The 16919-nt window shown below is 38.7% G+C and overlaps 1 long non-coding RNA gene across 1 annotated transcript in view, besides 1 other annotated feature; it reads left to right on the top strand.

Moving 5' to 3' along the window:
* LOC107984704 (uncharacterized) overlaps positions 1-16919 on the top strand; it is a 336950-nt gene that overhangs the window by 254993 nt on the left and 65038 nt on the right. The window lies entirely within an intron of this gene.
* Positions 7798-8997: an enhancer, noted in NCBI's record as "BRD4-independent group 4 enhancer chr14:82466331-82467530 (GRCh37/hg19 assembly coordinates)". NCBI's record gives its function as "activates an origin of replication core promoter dependent on BRD2, P300/CBP, MED14 and CDK7 cofactors, and independent of BRD4, by STARR-seq in HCT116 cells {active_cell/tissue: HCT116}" and the evidence as "EXISTENCE:reporter gene assay evidence [ECO:0000049][PMID:35650434]".

The raw sequence follows: 16919 nt of genomic DNA on the forward strand, positions 1-16919 counted from the left end.
TGCTGCCCCACTGAGGCCATAGCTAGTAATACAATTAAGAAATAAGCTGGGCATGGTGGCTCCCGCCTGTAATCCCAACACTTTGGGAGGCTGAGGTGACTGGATTACCTGAGATTGTGAGTTTGAGACCAGTGTGACCAACATGGAAAACCCCATCTCTACTAAAAATAAAAAAAAAATTTGCTGGGTGTGGTGGTGCATGCCTGTAATTCCAGCTACCTGGGAGGCTGAGGCAGGAGAACTGCTTGAACCCAGGAGGCGGAGGTTGCTGTGGGCTGAGATGGCGCCATTGCACTCCAGCCTGGGCAACAAGAGTGAAACTCCGTCTCAAAAAAAAAAAGAAATAATGGTCAAACATGAGGTTTTTGAAGGTAGAGCGACTACTTGGGTTCCAGTTTCCATTGCCATTTCCAGCCTGTGTGACTGCAGCCACGCTACTTTTCAGGAAGGAAGGACTTAATGATCACTTAATGATCACCCTGGACAAGGGTAGTTGGGTTTTTACTGCTGAGAGGTAGTTGTAGTTCACCTTTGTTTATGCAACAATGAATATTAATTAAAAATGGAATACATGATAGCTTGAAGAAGAGGAAACAATACTTTTGATAAACCAAGACCTTGATGGAAATAGAAAGGGTACTGTTACCATTGTCTGTTCTTGGGAAGTACAGAGGAAATTGCTCAGGATTTGAGCAAAAAGGAAATCAAGACCAGCTTTGGGTCAAATTCTGGGTGAAATCCTGGCTTCTAAACAACCATGTAGATGGGCCACCTCTGAGAGCTTCCTCATGTTAAAATGGAAATGGTAACAGCACATCTTTTAAGAGTTAAATTTTAAGTATAAAATGAGCTTATGCGGGGTGAAATGCTTACCACAGTGTTGTCACGTGGAAGGTGCTTGATAACATGTCAGCTCTTGCCATTACCACTGCATACCACTACTACAGTCATAGCTCCATCTATGGGAACTTGGAGTTCTTGTTAAGGGCTGAGGACTAATTTGGCCTTGAAAATTAACTTGGTCATATTTAGGGAGATCAACAGTAAACTTCCAAAATTTCAACTAAAGTGCTTTAAAAAATCCTTGCGTTGCAAGTATAGTATTATCGCTCTATCTTTATTTTGGTCTTAAATTTGAAACATATCCATGGAATATGCATACCCCGTAAATGTCTCTCTTTGCCAGTTATGGTTACAAATTGAATTTCCTGCCCCTCAAGGTAGTCCTGATAATGAAAATAAAACAATTATGATACAGGACTCTGACCTATTTTCTAGAAATGAATACCCTGTTTAAACCTGAAAAATATAATTAATTCTTTGAACAGCAGATGCTATTTTTTGATGAACTGCTAAAACTTTTGACTCAGTACTTCCTTATCTGAAAAATGTGAGGCTAGACTGGTTCCAGCTATCATTTTTTGAGCATTTATCACATGCTAGGTTCTGTGGTAAGTGTATTACATACATATCTTTATTAAACTGACAGCCACCTTTGTGAAGTACATGCTATTTCCGTTTTATAAAGGAGGATACTCAGGCTCAACATTGAAGTAAGCAGCCCAAGATCTTATTGGCCAGCAGGAAGATCCGGCACGTGGCCAGCACATGGTACAACTATGATCTGCACACAGATTTTGGGAATCTGAAGCTTGTGTTTATAACAACTTCGGAAATCTAACATTACTTTGAAGATCTCTTCTTTATGTAACATCCTGGGATTACACTTAAAAGACTCTTTATTGTAATAGGTAGAAGTGTTTTGACATGTTGCCTTCAGCTTGAGGGGGAACAAGACAATTTAGCAAAAATCAACATAGTGTATCAGGTATACATTTACACATGATCACTCAGGGGCACAGAAATATAACTTTTTAGTTTTTTATACTTAAACTCCATTTTGTTCTCAAGTTCTCTCAAGCTGTCTAGAGCAGACAACTTATTTTATGGCACTCTGGTATATTCAGTCCAAATTGGTCAAATTTGCAGTCAAATTTAGGTATTATTCTTTTAGCCACAATTCTAGTTTAAAGTGTCCTCACTGTTGAGGGGCAACTCAACGTTTCTGGCTTCTGTTATCTCCCTTATTCATCTGAATCAGTCCATTTTCAGACTGCTATTAAGAACTGCCTTAGACTGAATAATTTTTTTATTTTTAAATTTTATTATGTTTTGAGATGGAGTCTCACTCTGTCACTCAGGCTGGAGTGTAGTGGCGTGATCTCGGCTCATGGCAACCTCTGCCTCCTGGGTTCAAGCGATTTTCCTGCCTCAGCACCCCGAGTAGCTGGGATCACAGGTGTGCGCCACCACATTCGGCTAATTTTTGTATTTTTAGTAGATCTGGGGTTTTGCCATCTTGGCCAGGGTGGTCCCAAACTCCTGACCCCAGGTGATCCTGAGACTGGGTAATTTATAAAGAAAAAGGCTTACTTGACTCACAGTTCCACGTGGCTGGGGAGGCCTCAGGAAACTTACAATCATGGTGGAAGCCAAAGGGGAAGCAAAGGCCTTCTTTATATGGCGATTAGAGAGAGACGTGCAAGCAGGGGAAATGCCAGACTGCTTATAAAGCCATCAGATCTCATGAGAACTCACTCACTATCTCAAGAATAGCATGGGAGAAACTGCTCCCATGATCCAGTCATCTCCCTCCCTCCACATGTGGGGATCACAGGTCCCCCCCGACACGTGGGGATTACAATTCCAGATGAGATTTGAGTGGCGACACAGAGCCAAACCATATCACCAGCCCTTTTCTTTCTCTTTGTTCCCATTTGGGAAGAGCTAAAACCCATAGTCATGGAGAGGAGAGGCATCTCTGGTCAGTGCAGTAGCCTCTGGATTTGTGCTAGTGTTTGTTGGCAAAGAAACTGCTCCTACTTGATTGGTGACTTGTTCTAATATTTGCTACAGACGGACAAGTTTCATGAACTCTGCACCTTCTTTGTTCTGACTATGGACATAATTCAGTGGATTTCTAGTCTCTATTTATTTATTCCTCATTGGAGTATATGAGAACTCCTGGATCTGTTGCAAGCCACAAAATGTTGGTCACTGGAGAAATGGGAGAACCATCTTTTTTTTTTTTTTTTTTTAGACGGAGTTTTGCTGTTGTCACCCAGGCTGGGGTGCAATGGCTCGATCTCAGCTCACTGCAACCTCCGCCTCCTGGGTTCAAGTGATTCTCCTGCCTCAGCCTCCTGAGTAGCTTGGATTACAGGCGTGCGCCACCATGCCTGGCAAATTTTTGTATTTTTAGTAGAGATGTGGTTTCTCCATGTTGGTCAGGCTGGTCTCGAACTCCTGACCTCAGGTGATCCACCCCACCTTGGCCTCCCAAAGTGTTGGGATTACAGGCGTGAGACACTGTCCCCTGCTGGGAGAACCATCTTAGTCCTTCTCTCTGTCTTGTTATACCACACCTTTCTTTCGCTCCACTTTGACTGCCTCAGATTGGCATGCCTCCTTGCTGTAAGTCAAAAACCAGGGAATGCAGAGCCTGTTGAATACAGAAGTAGCATTGAATCTTTGTCTTGCTCCTTCTAAATCTCTCTATTTCTCCACTTACTCTCCTTTCCCCCTTCCCATGTCTCAGGCTACAAAGAGCTTTTCCCTTTATTTATGGGGAGGAACTTTCTTTATGTCATGTCCCATTTCCTTCCTTTTCTGTAGTTACTATATAGTCACACTTTGATGCTTGCTTTGTATTACATTAAAAATCCAGCTTTCTGAGTTTTCAGGAAACCCTTTTATTTGAAGCCTTGGCTCAGAAATACTGTTTAATTATGGATATATGGAAGTTTAATTTGATAAAACAAAAATTAGGCAATGGCTCCCTTATTCTTGGCATGGAAGCAATTACAAATGCCTTGGCTATAATTTGCTGATGGGCATAGATCCTAAGGACACTTGGAAACGATTAGGAGTTCCAGATGGGGTAGAGAACTCCAGATTTGTGCTCACCTTCTACAGCACAGAGCTTTCCCTGGATGCTCAGCATACATTGATATTTTCCACTTATATACCCTTGTAAGTGTGTCCATGGGACTGGTTCTAACCAGTGAAATGTGAAAGAATTATTGTCTATCAATTCCAAGTTGACATGGTTAATACATGGGTGTGCTTTATCTGTCCGCTACCTGGATATTAACATCAGTGTTGGCCCCAGGGTTAATACTAATTAATCCTGTATTAATACTAGTTAATCCTTTGTCAGCTTGGGTTTCTGCACACCTGTATGAATTAGACAATTCTTGCCCATTCTCTTGTGCAGAGGGAAATAACTTGTATTGTGTTACCCACTGAGGTTTTTGTATTCATTTCTTGTATCAGCTAGTGCTACTTCAACTAACAATGAAGGACTGAAAAGACATTGGTATAATGTATTTAAAAAATTATTCCTGCTATAATAACAAAGTAAAATTTCCTTACAAGCAACAATAGGTCTTCAAAAAAAGAAGAAAACATTATTGCCTCCACTCTTTATTTGGACTGTGCATACCTAATATACTTTGATGCTGGGTGTAAGTCAAGGGTTGGCAAACTCTGGCCCGTGGTTGTTTTTGTATGGTCCATGGGCTAAAAATAGATTTTTACTTTTAAGCAACTGTACAAAACAAAGAAGAATATGCGGCAGAGATCATACATGGCCCTCAAAGTATAAAATACTTGCTATCTGGTCCTTTACAAAAAATGAGCCATGCCTTGGAGTAAATGGCAGGAAGGCCAATGAGCTTCATCTACATGGTATAGAGAAGACTTCTCTGAACACGAAGAATTGAATATTCTATCGTGGGTTGAACTGTGATGTTATGATTCAGGCCTTTGATATTGATAGACACTATAAAAATTGTACGCTTGACCTAGCAACGTTAGTGGAAAAATGGAAAGATTTGCTCAGTCTTCATTTCTTATGTCTGTAGGACTAACAGCAACTTGACTTGTTCATATAATTGACTGATTATTTTTGAAACTGATAGTCAATTTGGTACTATCCAGACACAGCCAGAGAGGAGAAACTGTTCGTTTTTGTTTATTTTGGATTGGTGGCTCCCTAAACCAAGACCAATGGCTCTTAAATTTATAGGGTGGATGAAACATTTTCAACACTTCAATAGGGAAAACAAATTCACTTGAGACTCGAATAACTGAAACATAGTAATGTTTTTTCCCCTCCATTTATAGCCTCGGAAAAGCTAAGCACAGTTGTCCAGAATAATCTAGATTAACCATCAGGCTTTAAATTTATTATAAATATATGATTTTTGGTAAGTTTGTAGCCAAACCTGCTCATTTTATCCCCCTGGGTCATTGATAATAATTAAGAGGCCATGCTTGTTACTTTCTATGGGGACCAAAATCAAGACTGTATTTTGATTAAGCTCATAATATGTGCCAATGAGCAGGATTTGTTTAAGTTGGCAGATTTTCATGCTTGTGTGAAATATTTTTTATTTTCCTGCCACTAATTATGTTATTATTAAGTTACATCCACTGGAGTATAATTATCTGTTGTATAATACTTTTTATACATGGGTCTCTAGAAATTTGCCACTTCAGTAGTGCTGACTGAGACTTTGCTGCACCTTCTTAATGATAGAACTTTCTCTGACACAGTTTGGCTTATCTTCTTTTCCCTAGGAACTCCTCAATAATCATTTCAAAAGAATAAAATCCTAGTCTAATATGTTTATCTTGCAGATAGGTTTTTTTTTTTAATCTGGCCCTTATGAATTCTGGGGCAATCATGACTGTAGTGGGTTCCAGGGTTGAAGAAGCCCACTCCACCATGGTAGTGGGAGACGTCACCAAGAGATGGCACTGGGAGTCCATTTTCATCTTCGTTTATATTTTGATAACTTTTAGTTTTTCCAGGGTAACAGACCAATGGAACTCTGACATAGGTTTCACAATGGCACCACCTATTTCGCCTATTCTTGTACTTCGCTATGTCTTAGATAGTTATACAGTTATACATATAGTTATACAGTTTTCTTTGTCTCTGAGACTAGGGAGCTTTTTACTAGTTCATGGGTTGAGGGGACCATTGTGTCCCCCAGGATAGCCCAATCTTGATTCCTCCTCTCTCTCATCCCCCACATTTCAGCCTAACTGCCACGATGCCAAAGGCCATGCCTGTTTTCCCCCATCATTTGATTCCCAAGAATCCAGGTTAATGTCTGGCACCTAACATATTTGCTGAAAGAAATAACAAAAGACATCTTTCCCCTCCTGTGGCTTCTGAAATCCTTCTTGAAAATGGCATTTTTCTCTCTGTGGAGCTCGTTTTATAGTTCTGGAAATTAAGTAGTTGGATTCGATCACCTTTTAGTTTTTTGGCTGCTCTAGGATTCTGTGAATTTCAATATATACCTTATGATTGATTTAGTCTACTCAGTCTGCCAACACTTATTATGCACCTACTGTGTGCCAATTAATGTTGAAACCTAGTTGAAAGGGGCCCGGCATAGTGGCTCATGTAATCCCAACACTTTGGGAGGCCGAGGCGGGCACATCACCTGAGGTCAGGAGTTCGAGACCAGCCTGGCCAAGATGGTAAAAACCCTATCTCTACTAAAAATTTAAAAATCAGCTAGGCATGGTGGCAGGTGCCTGTAATCTCAGCTACTCAGGCGGCTGAGGCAGGAGAATCGTTTGAATCCTGGAGGAGGAGGTTGCAGTGAGCCGAGATCGTGCCGTTGCACTCCAACCTGGGCGACAGAGCAAGACTCTGTCTCATAAAAAACAAAAACAACAAACAAACAAAACCCCCAAAAAAACAAAACTTAGTTGAAAGGGTTCCTGATCTCATGGAGCTTACGTTCTTATTATGAGAGGAAGAAAATTAAATGAATCACAGAAGTATTAGTAACAAATGTGTGGAAGAGAATGAAAGTTGAGCACCGTGAGTGAGAGTCGCTGGGGGTGACTTTAGATTGGGAGTTTGGAGAAGCCCTCTCTAAGGAGGTAGCATAAATGGGTTAGGTAGGGATGAGGTGAAAGAATATTCCAGGCAGAAGGAGCAGCAAAGGCAAAGGTCTCATGGCAGGAACAAGCATGGCACACTCAAAGATGGACGGCCAAGGGAGCCGGGGACTATAGAACAAATGAAAAGCTGAAACTTTGAGCAGGATTTGGAGGTGGGTGGATGGCGTCAAAGTGGAGTGGGGACAACCTAGAGATAACATTACTAATTCATCATGAAAACATTGGCAAGAGTGGTATTTGAAAAGTATTCTTGGGACAAAGGGCAAAAGGTTGAAAATTCATTCTTGACCTTAGTCCATCTTCTACATTATCAACCCCGAAAGCAGACAAACCTTGCAGAAGGTTTGGGTATTGCAAAAAATATCCTTATATAAGGGCCAGGAAATTAAAAAAAGAAAGAGAAAGTTCTACAGCATTTAATCCAAAATGGATTCACTGGGGAGGTCTTTCTTCTTGAAAGCAATTATACTTTACAACGTGTTCTTTTCCCTGGTATTTCCATTTCCCATGATGCCTGACTTCATTAAGGAAGGCAGAAAGCAGGATTTTCTGTGATGTGCTGGTAGAATTATATCTTCCGAGCTGCAACTAATTATTTTGATGAAAACAAAAAGCACAGTATAGCGCCATATGAGAAGAAGATCAATGCTTGCATACTGGCCAAACTCAACAAGGAAGAAAACAAAGAAAAAAGTAACAAAAATAAAACACATTGTTTTATTAATCACATTTTGTTTATATAAAACAATAAGCTAGGAGAAGATAACTTGGCTTAATGACAGGTCAGAATGCCATTTGAGAAAATCCTTATTGTAGCTTTGCCCATGTATTTCTCTCTCTCTGTCTCTCTCTATCTCTCTTTCTCTCTTTCTTTCTCTCTTTCTCTCTCTCTCTCTCTCTCTCTCTCTCTCTCTCTCTCTCTCTCTCTCTCTCTGTCACTCTCTATGTGTGTGTGTGTCTCCTCAGGCAAGTTATTTGCTTATTCTGTTACCATCTCAATTTCCTCAGTTTATAAAATGAGAATATGTATGTTTATTGTTATCATATCTCAAGAAATGCAGACAAAATATAGTTGTAGTTAATGAAAAATGCTGGAAAAACAAACTGCATTGTTACTGTGGTTTCTTTTCTATAATAATAATAATAAACTCAAAGTAAACCAAGCTTATCTTTGTAGGTGTGAGAAAAACTGGGCTCTAGTGTTAGCTGTTCTCTGACAAGACTGAGTGTTTGGTCAAGTCTCCTCCATTCTGGGAGTCCTACCCAGGGCAATTAGGGTTTTATCAGATCAACATTGAAGGCCTTCCCTGCTCTGAGGTTTTGTGATTTTAAATATGTTTCAATCCTTAATATTTTCACAATGTATTTTGACTGTATAAATTCAGGGACCTATGATTTATCTCCCAAATAATGTTCTGATCATTGTAAGCAAAGAAGGATAGGAAGTGATTATAAAATAAATACATGGCATCTGTTTTCAGAGAACACAAAGCCTTTGTATCTACCAAATCCTTTCCACCTCTTGTCACTTTAAGAAACAAAATTGTCGTTGGTATTAGAGGCATGATTGGTCTGTTGGAAGTTTTTGCTGCTCAAGTGTGGTCTGTGGTACAGCAACATCCACATCACCTGGGATCTTGTTAGAAGTACAGAATCTCAAGCCCTGCTGAAGACTACAGAGTCAGAATATTCAATGTTACCAGGGACCTATGTGAATCATTTGTACATTAAAATGCCTATTTTAGGCTGGGTGAGGTGGCTCACACCTGCAATCCTAGAACTTTGGGAGGTAGATGTAAGAGGATTGCTTGAGGCAAGGAATTCAAGACCAGCCTGGGCAACATAGCGAGATCTCATTTCTACAGATAAAACATAAAATAAAAAATTAGTTGGGTGTGGTGGCATGTATAGCCGTAGCTACTCAGGAGGCTCAGGCAGGGATCATTTGAGCCCAAGAATTCAAGGCTGCAGTGAGCCATGATTGTACCACTGCACTTCAGCCTAGGTGACAGAGTGAGACCCAGCCTTTAGATAAAAAAAAAGAAGTCCTATTTTAAATGAGCGATCAGTAAAGGGAGCTATTGCAAATTATTCATTCTAATCCCAAACAGAGTGACAAAGTTGTTACTACAAGAGACCCAACTCACCCCCACTGGTTGTTCTTGGTCCATGCACTGAAATTAGTTTTCTGAATCACTTATAAAATATTGAACCATCCAAGATTTGGTACTTTCCCTTTAGCTTTAGAACTGAGTCAGTAACCCATATTGCTGTTAGAAGTTACCCTTCAATCTTCAAACTGTAACTCACATTTCTGCTTGCTGAGATGAACATATTTGAAGACATGTTCATGCTGGGAAAAAACATTCACCTCAATTCCTCATCTAAAGGCTATAGAATTGATAAGCAATCTTTCTATCCATTTTTCAAAGTAAAATTCAAAATCACTTTCCTTCTCTTTTGCATGCAGTGAATGCTGAATTGTCTGTGTGAGTGTGTGTGCACGTGCATGTGTGTGTGTGTACATAAAAAAGGAAGCAGGTGAACATCAGCTTCTGTTTAACTGAAAATGTACTTATTTTTGTTCTGTGTTTTGAGTCACAATGCAGTAGTCTCACCAATGATTGTCTGGAATAGATTTTTTCCACTATTATTAGGATCTGAAATTGGATAGATGGCTTTTGTACCACAGAGGTGGTGACTTCACAATAGAAGGTAAAAATGAGCCACCTGGAATGCTGTTCTGTTGCTCATTTCAGCTGAGGTCTGCTATATGGCTCTGGAAGGTTAGATGTACTTTCAATATATCACTTGGATGCTTCTTTTTAGAGAAAAATGACCAGTGAATCTCAAAAGAATGCATGTAAGCCATGCCCTTAACTTAAGTAGAAGCAGACCAGAGACCACACAGGGCAGAAGAAAATCTTATTGGCAAGAAGTGGAAAATGTTCTGAAGTCACCAGGGTGATATTTGAATTGGACTGCAAGAGAAGTCAATAGACCTCAGAATGTGGCTTTAAGAGCTGAATATTTCTGAACTGATGCTGTACTTATTGTGAATCTAGAGACTTCATTTATAATACCACAAACTGTTCTGGTAAGACTATATAGGAAAGGAGCTCTTCAAGAAACAGAAAACCACACTGACAGATCCTTTGGGCCCAAGGCTCCAATAATAACCCAACACATTCAGCTCTTTGTCTTGAATAGGTGATCTTATGGGGAAGAAGTAAGAAGTGGGGAGAAATTCAAAACAGTTGGTTAATTATATTCATTTGGTCATGGGCTTGATGTATGTTAGAGCTTCACAATATTTTAGATTTCCTGGAAAAAACCTTGAAGATATGCTAGTTAATTCATTTATTTTACAGATTAGTCCACTAAGTCCCAATGAGTCTGAATGACAGGGAAAAGTAAGAGTTGGTAGCACATTTTGGATTAGAACTTGGGTTTTTTTGAATTTCAGGGCATTGACATTTTGCTACATGAGAAGACGTAAGCAAGGCTATTAGAGGATATAAGACATAGGAGAGGGTTAAGCCATAAAAACTTAAAGCAGACCTACAAATTACAAGAACTTGGGTTCAATTGTTCCAGACTGAAGATGTCCATTTGCCTAGCAATCAACACAATGATACAAAGGATCTGAGATTTTCTAGCCTGGTATACGTGTGTGGCAAAGGCTTCCATGACCAAGTAGAATGAATGGACATTTGCGTATTGAACTAATAAAGTGGTATTAGGGAACTCTTTCTACCTCCCAGAAGGTAGAGTGTGGTGAGGGTGCTTCCATCTCTTCAAGGATCATTCCTTTGTTCAGTAAATCGATCTTAACTGTGAGCCAGCATCTACTTTAAGTAGTAGTAATATGAAAATAAACAACACACCTCATCCACAGAAAACTTATAATTCAACAGAGTAGAGAGGTAGATAACCAATTCAGTTATTCAATGTATTCGTTGAACTCTCTGTTAGGCACTCTGTCAGGAAATGCAATAAAGAACAAGATAGACACATTCCCTAGACTCAAGGAGCATGCTATATAGCCTTGATAGCAGACATTAAAGAAATTCGCATATAATTAGTACTGTGATAAAGATTTACATCTGGATTCTGGGAGCACAGAGTAGGGGTGTGTGACACAAGTGAGGATGTTGGTCAGGGAAATGTTTTACTTAAGTTCAGTCATGAAGAGCAGTGATTGATTGAGCAGGAGATATCCCTCAGGGTTGATGGTGTCCCTAAATTGTTGGAGGCTCTTTTCATAAGCCATGGAATGCCTTTGAGAACACACGTTGATGAAGATAGACTTGCTTCCTGAGCTTGAAACAATTCCTTCCCACTAGGGCCATGGAACTTGAATGAGACAATCATTTCCTTTGATTTCTTTGGCTAGGAAGAGAATTTTTGGCCCATTCCCCAGAAGGCTGTTTTCCACATTCATCACTTTGTGTGACAGCTCAGCCATGTGATTAGCAGGTACTGACTTAAGCAGGAAACATCCTGCTGGATGTAACTGGACCAGGGGGCTTATTGTTCTGGGCTGTTTCCATTGGAATAATGGAGACCTGAGATGATTTGTTTTTGTTTCTTCTCTCAAAATGCTCCTGTCTGTGGCTTTGGGAGTCTGAGTCAGGCTCTCAAAGACTGTTAAGGTTTCTGGAGAGTCTGTGGTTGCCAAATGGAGTAATTTAACTCAGAAGATGGTTTACAGATGAAGAAACTGAAGTGTAGAGAGGTGAAGAGGAGCTATTCAAGGTGGGATGATGAATTAATAACTGAGCTGCCCAAACTCATGACTCCTGTCTCTGGAACCCAGTCTAAATTTTTTTTTTTTTTGTAACTTTAAGTTCTTGGATACATGTGCAGAACATGCAGGTTTGTTACATAGGTATACGTGTGCCATGGTGGTTTGCTGCACCCATCAACCCTTCATCTAGGTTTTAAGCCCCACATGCATTAGGTATTTGTCCTAATGCTCTCTCTCCCCTTGCTCTCCACCCACCGACAGGCCCTGGTGTGTGATGTTCCACTCTCTGTGTCCATGTATTCTCATTGTTCAACTTCCACTAAAGAGTGAGAACATGTGGTTGGTTTTCTGTCCCTGTATTAGTTTGCTGAGAATGATGGCTTCCCGCCTTCATCCATGTCCCTGCAAAGGACATGAATTCATTCTTTTTTATGGCTACATAGTATTCCGTGTTGTATATGTGGCACATTTTCTTTATCCAATCTACTATTGATGGGCATTTGGTTTGGTTTCATGTCTTTGCTATCGTAAATAGTGCTGCAATAAACATACGTGTGCATGTGTGTTTTTAGTAGAATGATTTATAATGCTTTGGGTATATACCCAGTAATGGGATTGCTGGGTCAAATGGTATTTCTGATTCGGAGGCATCACCACACTGTCTTCCACAATGGTTGAACTAATTTACACTCCCACCAACAGTGTAAAAGCGTTCCTATTTCTCCACAGCCTTGCCAGTATCTGTTGTTTCCTGACTTTTAATAATCGCCATTCTGACTGGCATGAGAGGAGCAACCCACCTGCCAGTCTTTCTCCTGGAGGTTTAACTGAGACGTAATTCTGAGTGTTTAATGCAGTTGTCTTAAAGCAAAATATAGCAGTGATAGCAGAAACTAGATATGTTTCATCTTTGTATCTTTAATCTTTAACACAGTATTGGCATGTAGTAGGGTTCTAATGTACATTTTTCAAATTGAATAAAAAAGGTATAATTTTGGTCAATGGAATTTGCAGTCTTGTCTCATTAATGCCACTATCCAGCTGTGTGATCTTAGCTTTTCTAAGCTTCTGTTCTCTCGGCAGCAAAATAACAGCATTTGTCCATTCATTCTTTCAGTGAACATTTATTGATCTATTACTAAATTTCAGGAAACATAGAAGTCTGTAGATGGTGATGAAAGAAACAGTTTCTGCTCATTGTGGCTTCCTGTATACCAAGGATGAGAGACAGTTAAAAAAGCTACTGTAATAGAAGCCTACTCATCCACCATGATGGAGACCAACAGTTACTTGATTAATAAAATGGAGTCAAAGTGAGGGATTATAAAAGTTTCCTTGAACATACTATTATTATTAATTTGTTTTTAAATTGTAAAATACACATGATATAAAATTTTCTATTTTAGCTATTATAAAATGTACAGTTCAGTGACATGAAGTATATTCCCCTTGTTGTAAAAACATCACCGCCATTCATCTCCAGGACATTTTTATCTTCCCAAACGGAGACTCTGTACCCACTGAACAATAACTCCACAATTTCCCTTTGCCCTTGGAAACCACCATTCTATTTTCGGTCTTTGTAAGTTTGATTACTTTATATGAGTGAAATTATATAATCTATAACCTTCTGTTACTGGGTTATTCCACTTAGCATAATGCCTTCAAGGTTCATCCATATAGTAGCATATGTGACATTTTCTTTCTTTTTAAGGCTGAGTAATATTCCATTGTATGTATATACCACATCTTAAAAATCTACACATCCATTGATTGACATTTAGGTTGCTTTCAACATATTATTTTAATGTAGACATTTTAATGAGGACTGCTAATTAAAGTTTTCTGTCATTATTCTTACATAATATCTCATCTAACATTTCCAGTTTTGGCTTCTTTATTGGGGAGAGAGAATCTAAGCACTTGTGAAGCCATGTGAGTACAGATGTCTAGATTTAAAATAATTTTTTCCAAGTCTTTTACATCAGTCTTGATCATAACAAATGATTGACTCATTTTTGGCAACTTGCTTTAATCTATTCTTTTATGGAAATGATTCTGTTACTTAGTCACATTTCCTTAGTTATGTACAATCTAATTAAATTATGTAATTAGAATAACAATTATCCCTGACATACAAAATTATGGAAACAAACACAATGGTTCTTGGTGGACGTAGACCTCAAATAATGGAAGCCAAAGGATACAGGTCTGTTAGAGAGCAGTCAACTAGCCAAAAGTGATCTGTACCCTGTGGGTATTAGAGTTTTTTTCAGGAAGAGTTGAAAGGACTGGTTAATCCAGTTGATTACCTTAGTGGATGTTGTTTTTAAAGAACTTCTGCTGTTAAGAAAAGTGTTGGTGCTATTAGAGGGTTATACACAGAAGGATTTGGAAGCACAGGGCTTCTAGGAACTTAGTCAAGAGATGAAGAAGCATATCCACAGGTATTCAGATTCATCTTGAAGAATGGGGAAAAATTAGCCAGACAAAATTAGGGAAGATATTCTTACTAGAAGGAATAACCAGCACAATGGTATGAAACAGCAAAAACATATGGGACACTGAAGTATTGTTTTATGATGGGAGTAAAAGCTGCACTTCTTAATTTAAAAAGAGCTTGTTATGTGTCAGGCACTGGGGGATGCAAGCTCAACAAAATAGACAAGCAATTACCCACATGAAGCTTACTGTCTAGAGGGGAAGAGAGATACTTTTCAAACACAAATGAATAGGACACTATGGAAAATGCTAGAAAAGACAAACAGAAGATGTAAATGAAAGCCTGCAATGGGACAAGCAATATATCACAAATTTCGGGGCAAGGAGCCATACACTGGCTTTGGCAAAAAATTGAAAAGGTTAGAGGTGATATTGAATATTTCAGAAAGAAAAACCCACATATGCAAAGACCATGTGACAAGAGGCATTAGGACAAGTAAGAGAGCAAGTTGGACAAGTACAGACAAGGTCCTTGTGCAATAGTAAAAACTGTAATATTGGAGCTAGGTGATTTCTAAGCCTTCAGTTCATTTCTAAACTTTATCATTCTCCAAATGTTCTATATGCCAATCAGCATATTCCTTCCTGCCTTTCTCCATCCTACAATTGTATTTCTTTCATGCTTTTAGGGATACAAGGAATGCACCTCAACTGTATGGTAGTTCCAGTGTTCTACAGGATTCTAATGACTTGTCAAAGAAAGTGAATCTCTGGTGACTTAAAAAAGACATGAGCTTTTTTTTTGTGTATGTATGGATTTTCTCTACAGCTTCACCTTGCTTAGCAGCAAGTACAAGAAGTCATTCGATACAGCTTCCTGAGTCCAGATTAGACCATTTCTACTGTCTGCTAAGTACTCTGATCCTAATTGCTTGGGTTACTCCAATGCAGCACACTCAATCCTGGAAGCAGACAAAGTAGGCTTTTCCCCCTGTTCCCCTCTTGTGTAGCTAGTATATCACACTGGATTAAATGATGACAGCTGATCATGGTTTATCCTCAGTCTATTGGTTTAGTTTCTCTTGTGGAATAGTTATACTTCGCTCACAACAATTATTTCACTCAATGTATCCTTTGTGGCCAAAACTTCCCTCTTGTTATAAAAACAGCTAATAGAAAATGACAGTGCCCACCCAAAATGATCAAAGTAAATTTCTTTGTTTCTTTTTAAAGGCAAGGTAAATATTGATTTCAAACATTCTCATGTTTACTTTGTGTGTTCTCCCAGGGGCCAAATGGGTGAGCATGATGAGGTATCATAAATCACCAATATTAATAATATTGTTTGAAAGTGTCATTATAGAAATACTACATAATGATAATGAATGCAGGGAGATTCACCTTTGGTCTACTGCCAAAATTACATTATTTCCCTTAATTTTATATGTGAAATGTGTTTTAAAATCTCTGATCCATTCTAAGATGTTGCTGCTTAAGTTATGGATTTAATTTTGAAATGGTACTTCTTGTATATCTTTGTACCAAATCAACTTAATCATATTTGAACCTTTCAGTTGCATTTCATAATCTTACATGTGTTTGCTGTAAAGCAAGAAGATGCTTCTGCTTGAATAATAATACATCCTTAGCATTCTGTAGCGCTGTGAAACTACTTCTGGTTCCCCAAATATGATAAGACTTTTTTAATGTCTCTGGTTTTGACTCCGCCCTTTTGTCTCCTTAGGATGCTCTTCTTCTCCCTTGCCTCTTAAGCACCTACTCAGCCTTTAAGACTCAGCTCAGTTGTCACCTCCACTGGAAAGACTCTATCCTTTCCTAGGCATAAGTGCATGCCGCCCCCCATCCCCTCGCCCCGCTTGCCTGCAGTCTTAGAATAACACATATGCTTTATCACTCCTTGAAGTTATTCATTCAATTGTTATGGTACTAGATTTACTGTATTAGGCATACTACAGAACTTCCTCGACAATGTTATCCACAAGTTGTGAACTCCCTAAGGCAAGAGGTTCTCTGACACTGAATAGGAACTCAGTAAATCTTTGCTGAATGTATAGATCAGTGATAATAAGTGTGGCTAACCTGTATCGAATCATTATTTTTACCTAGTGAAAGCACCGTACTCTTGCCAATTTATTTAATGCTGAGAACAATCTTGGTGCAGGTATCATTATGTGTATCTTACCTTTAAAATATCAAAGACATACCAAGGTTAATTAGTTTGCCCAAGGTCATTCAGCTACCAAGAAGGGAAGCTAATATTTGACCCCCAGTTCTGTATTCCTAAGGCCATATGAGCTGCTTCCCACTGATATGATTTATGTTGAAATCATAGAAGCAGCTGGATAGAAAAAGTTAACTATTAATTAATCATAATTAAGAATAATAACTCATCTGACTAGTACTTTACCACTTCTTTTAATATGTAGCATATTATTCAATTAAAAAGCATAATTTTATTGTATATATATATATATATAACACCTTTCCAATTTGGAGGAATTACCAATAAAATACAAATAAACAACCTTAAATTTCAACATCCAGAGATAACTTTCTTCAAGATTCTTTAAAAAATAGATATCTGGGTGCATATTTTGTTTGTTTTCTCCCTGTATATGTACGTGTGTGTATGTGTGATGCTGTTCATGTTTCTTTAATAATATAGCAAATAATATCAGTAACTTTTCTTCATGTTCACAATATTTCGTGGTATCCC

The sequence above is a fragment of the Homo sapiens genome, chromosome 14, assembly GCF_000001405.40.
Source record: "Homo sapiens chromosome 14, GRCh38.p14 Primary Assembly".
Lineage (NCBI taxonomy): Eukaryota > Metazoa > Chordata > Mammalia > Primates > Hominidae > Homo > Homo sapiens.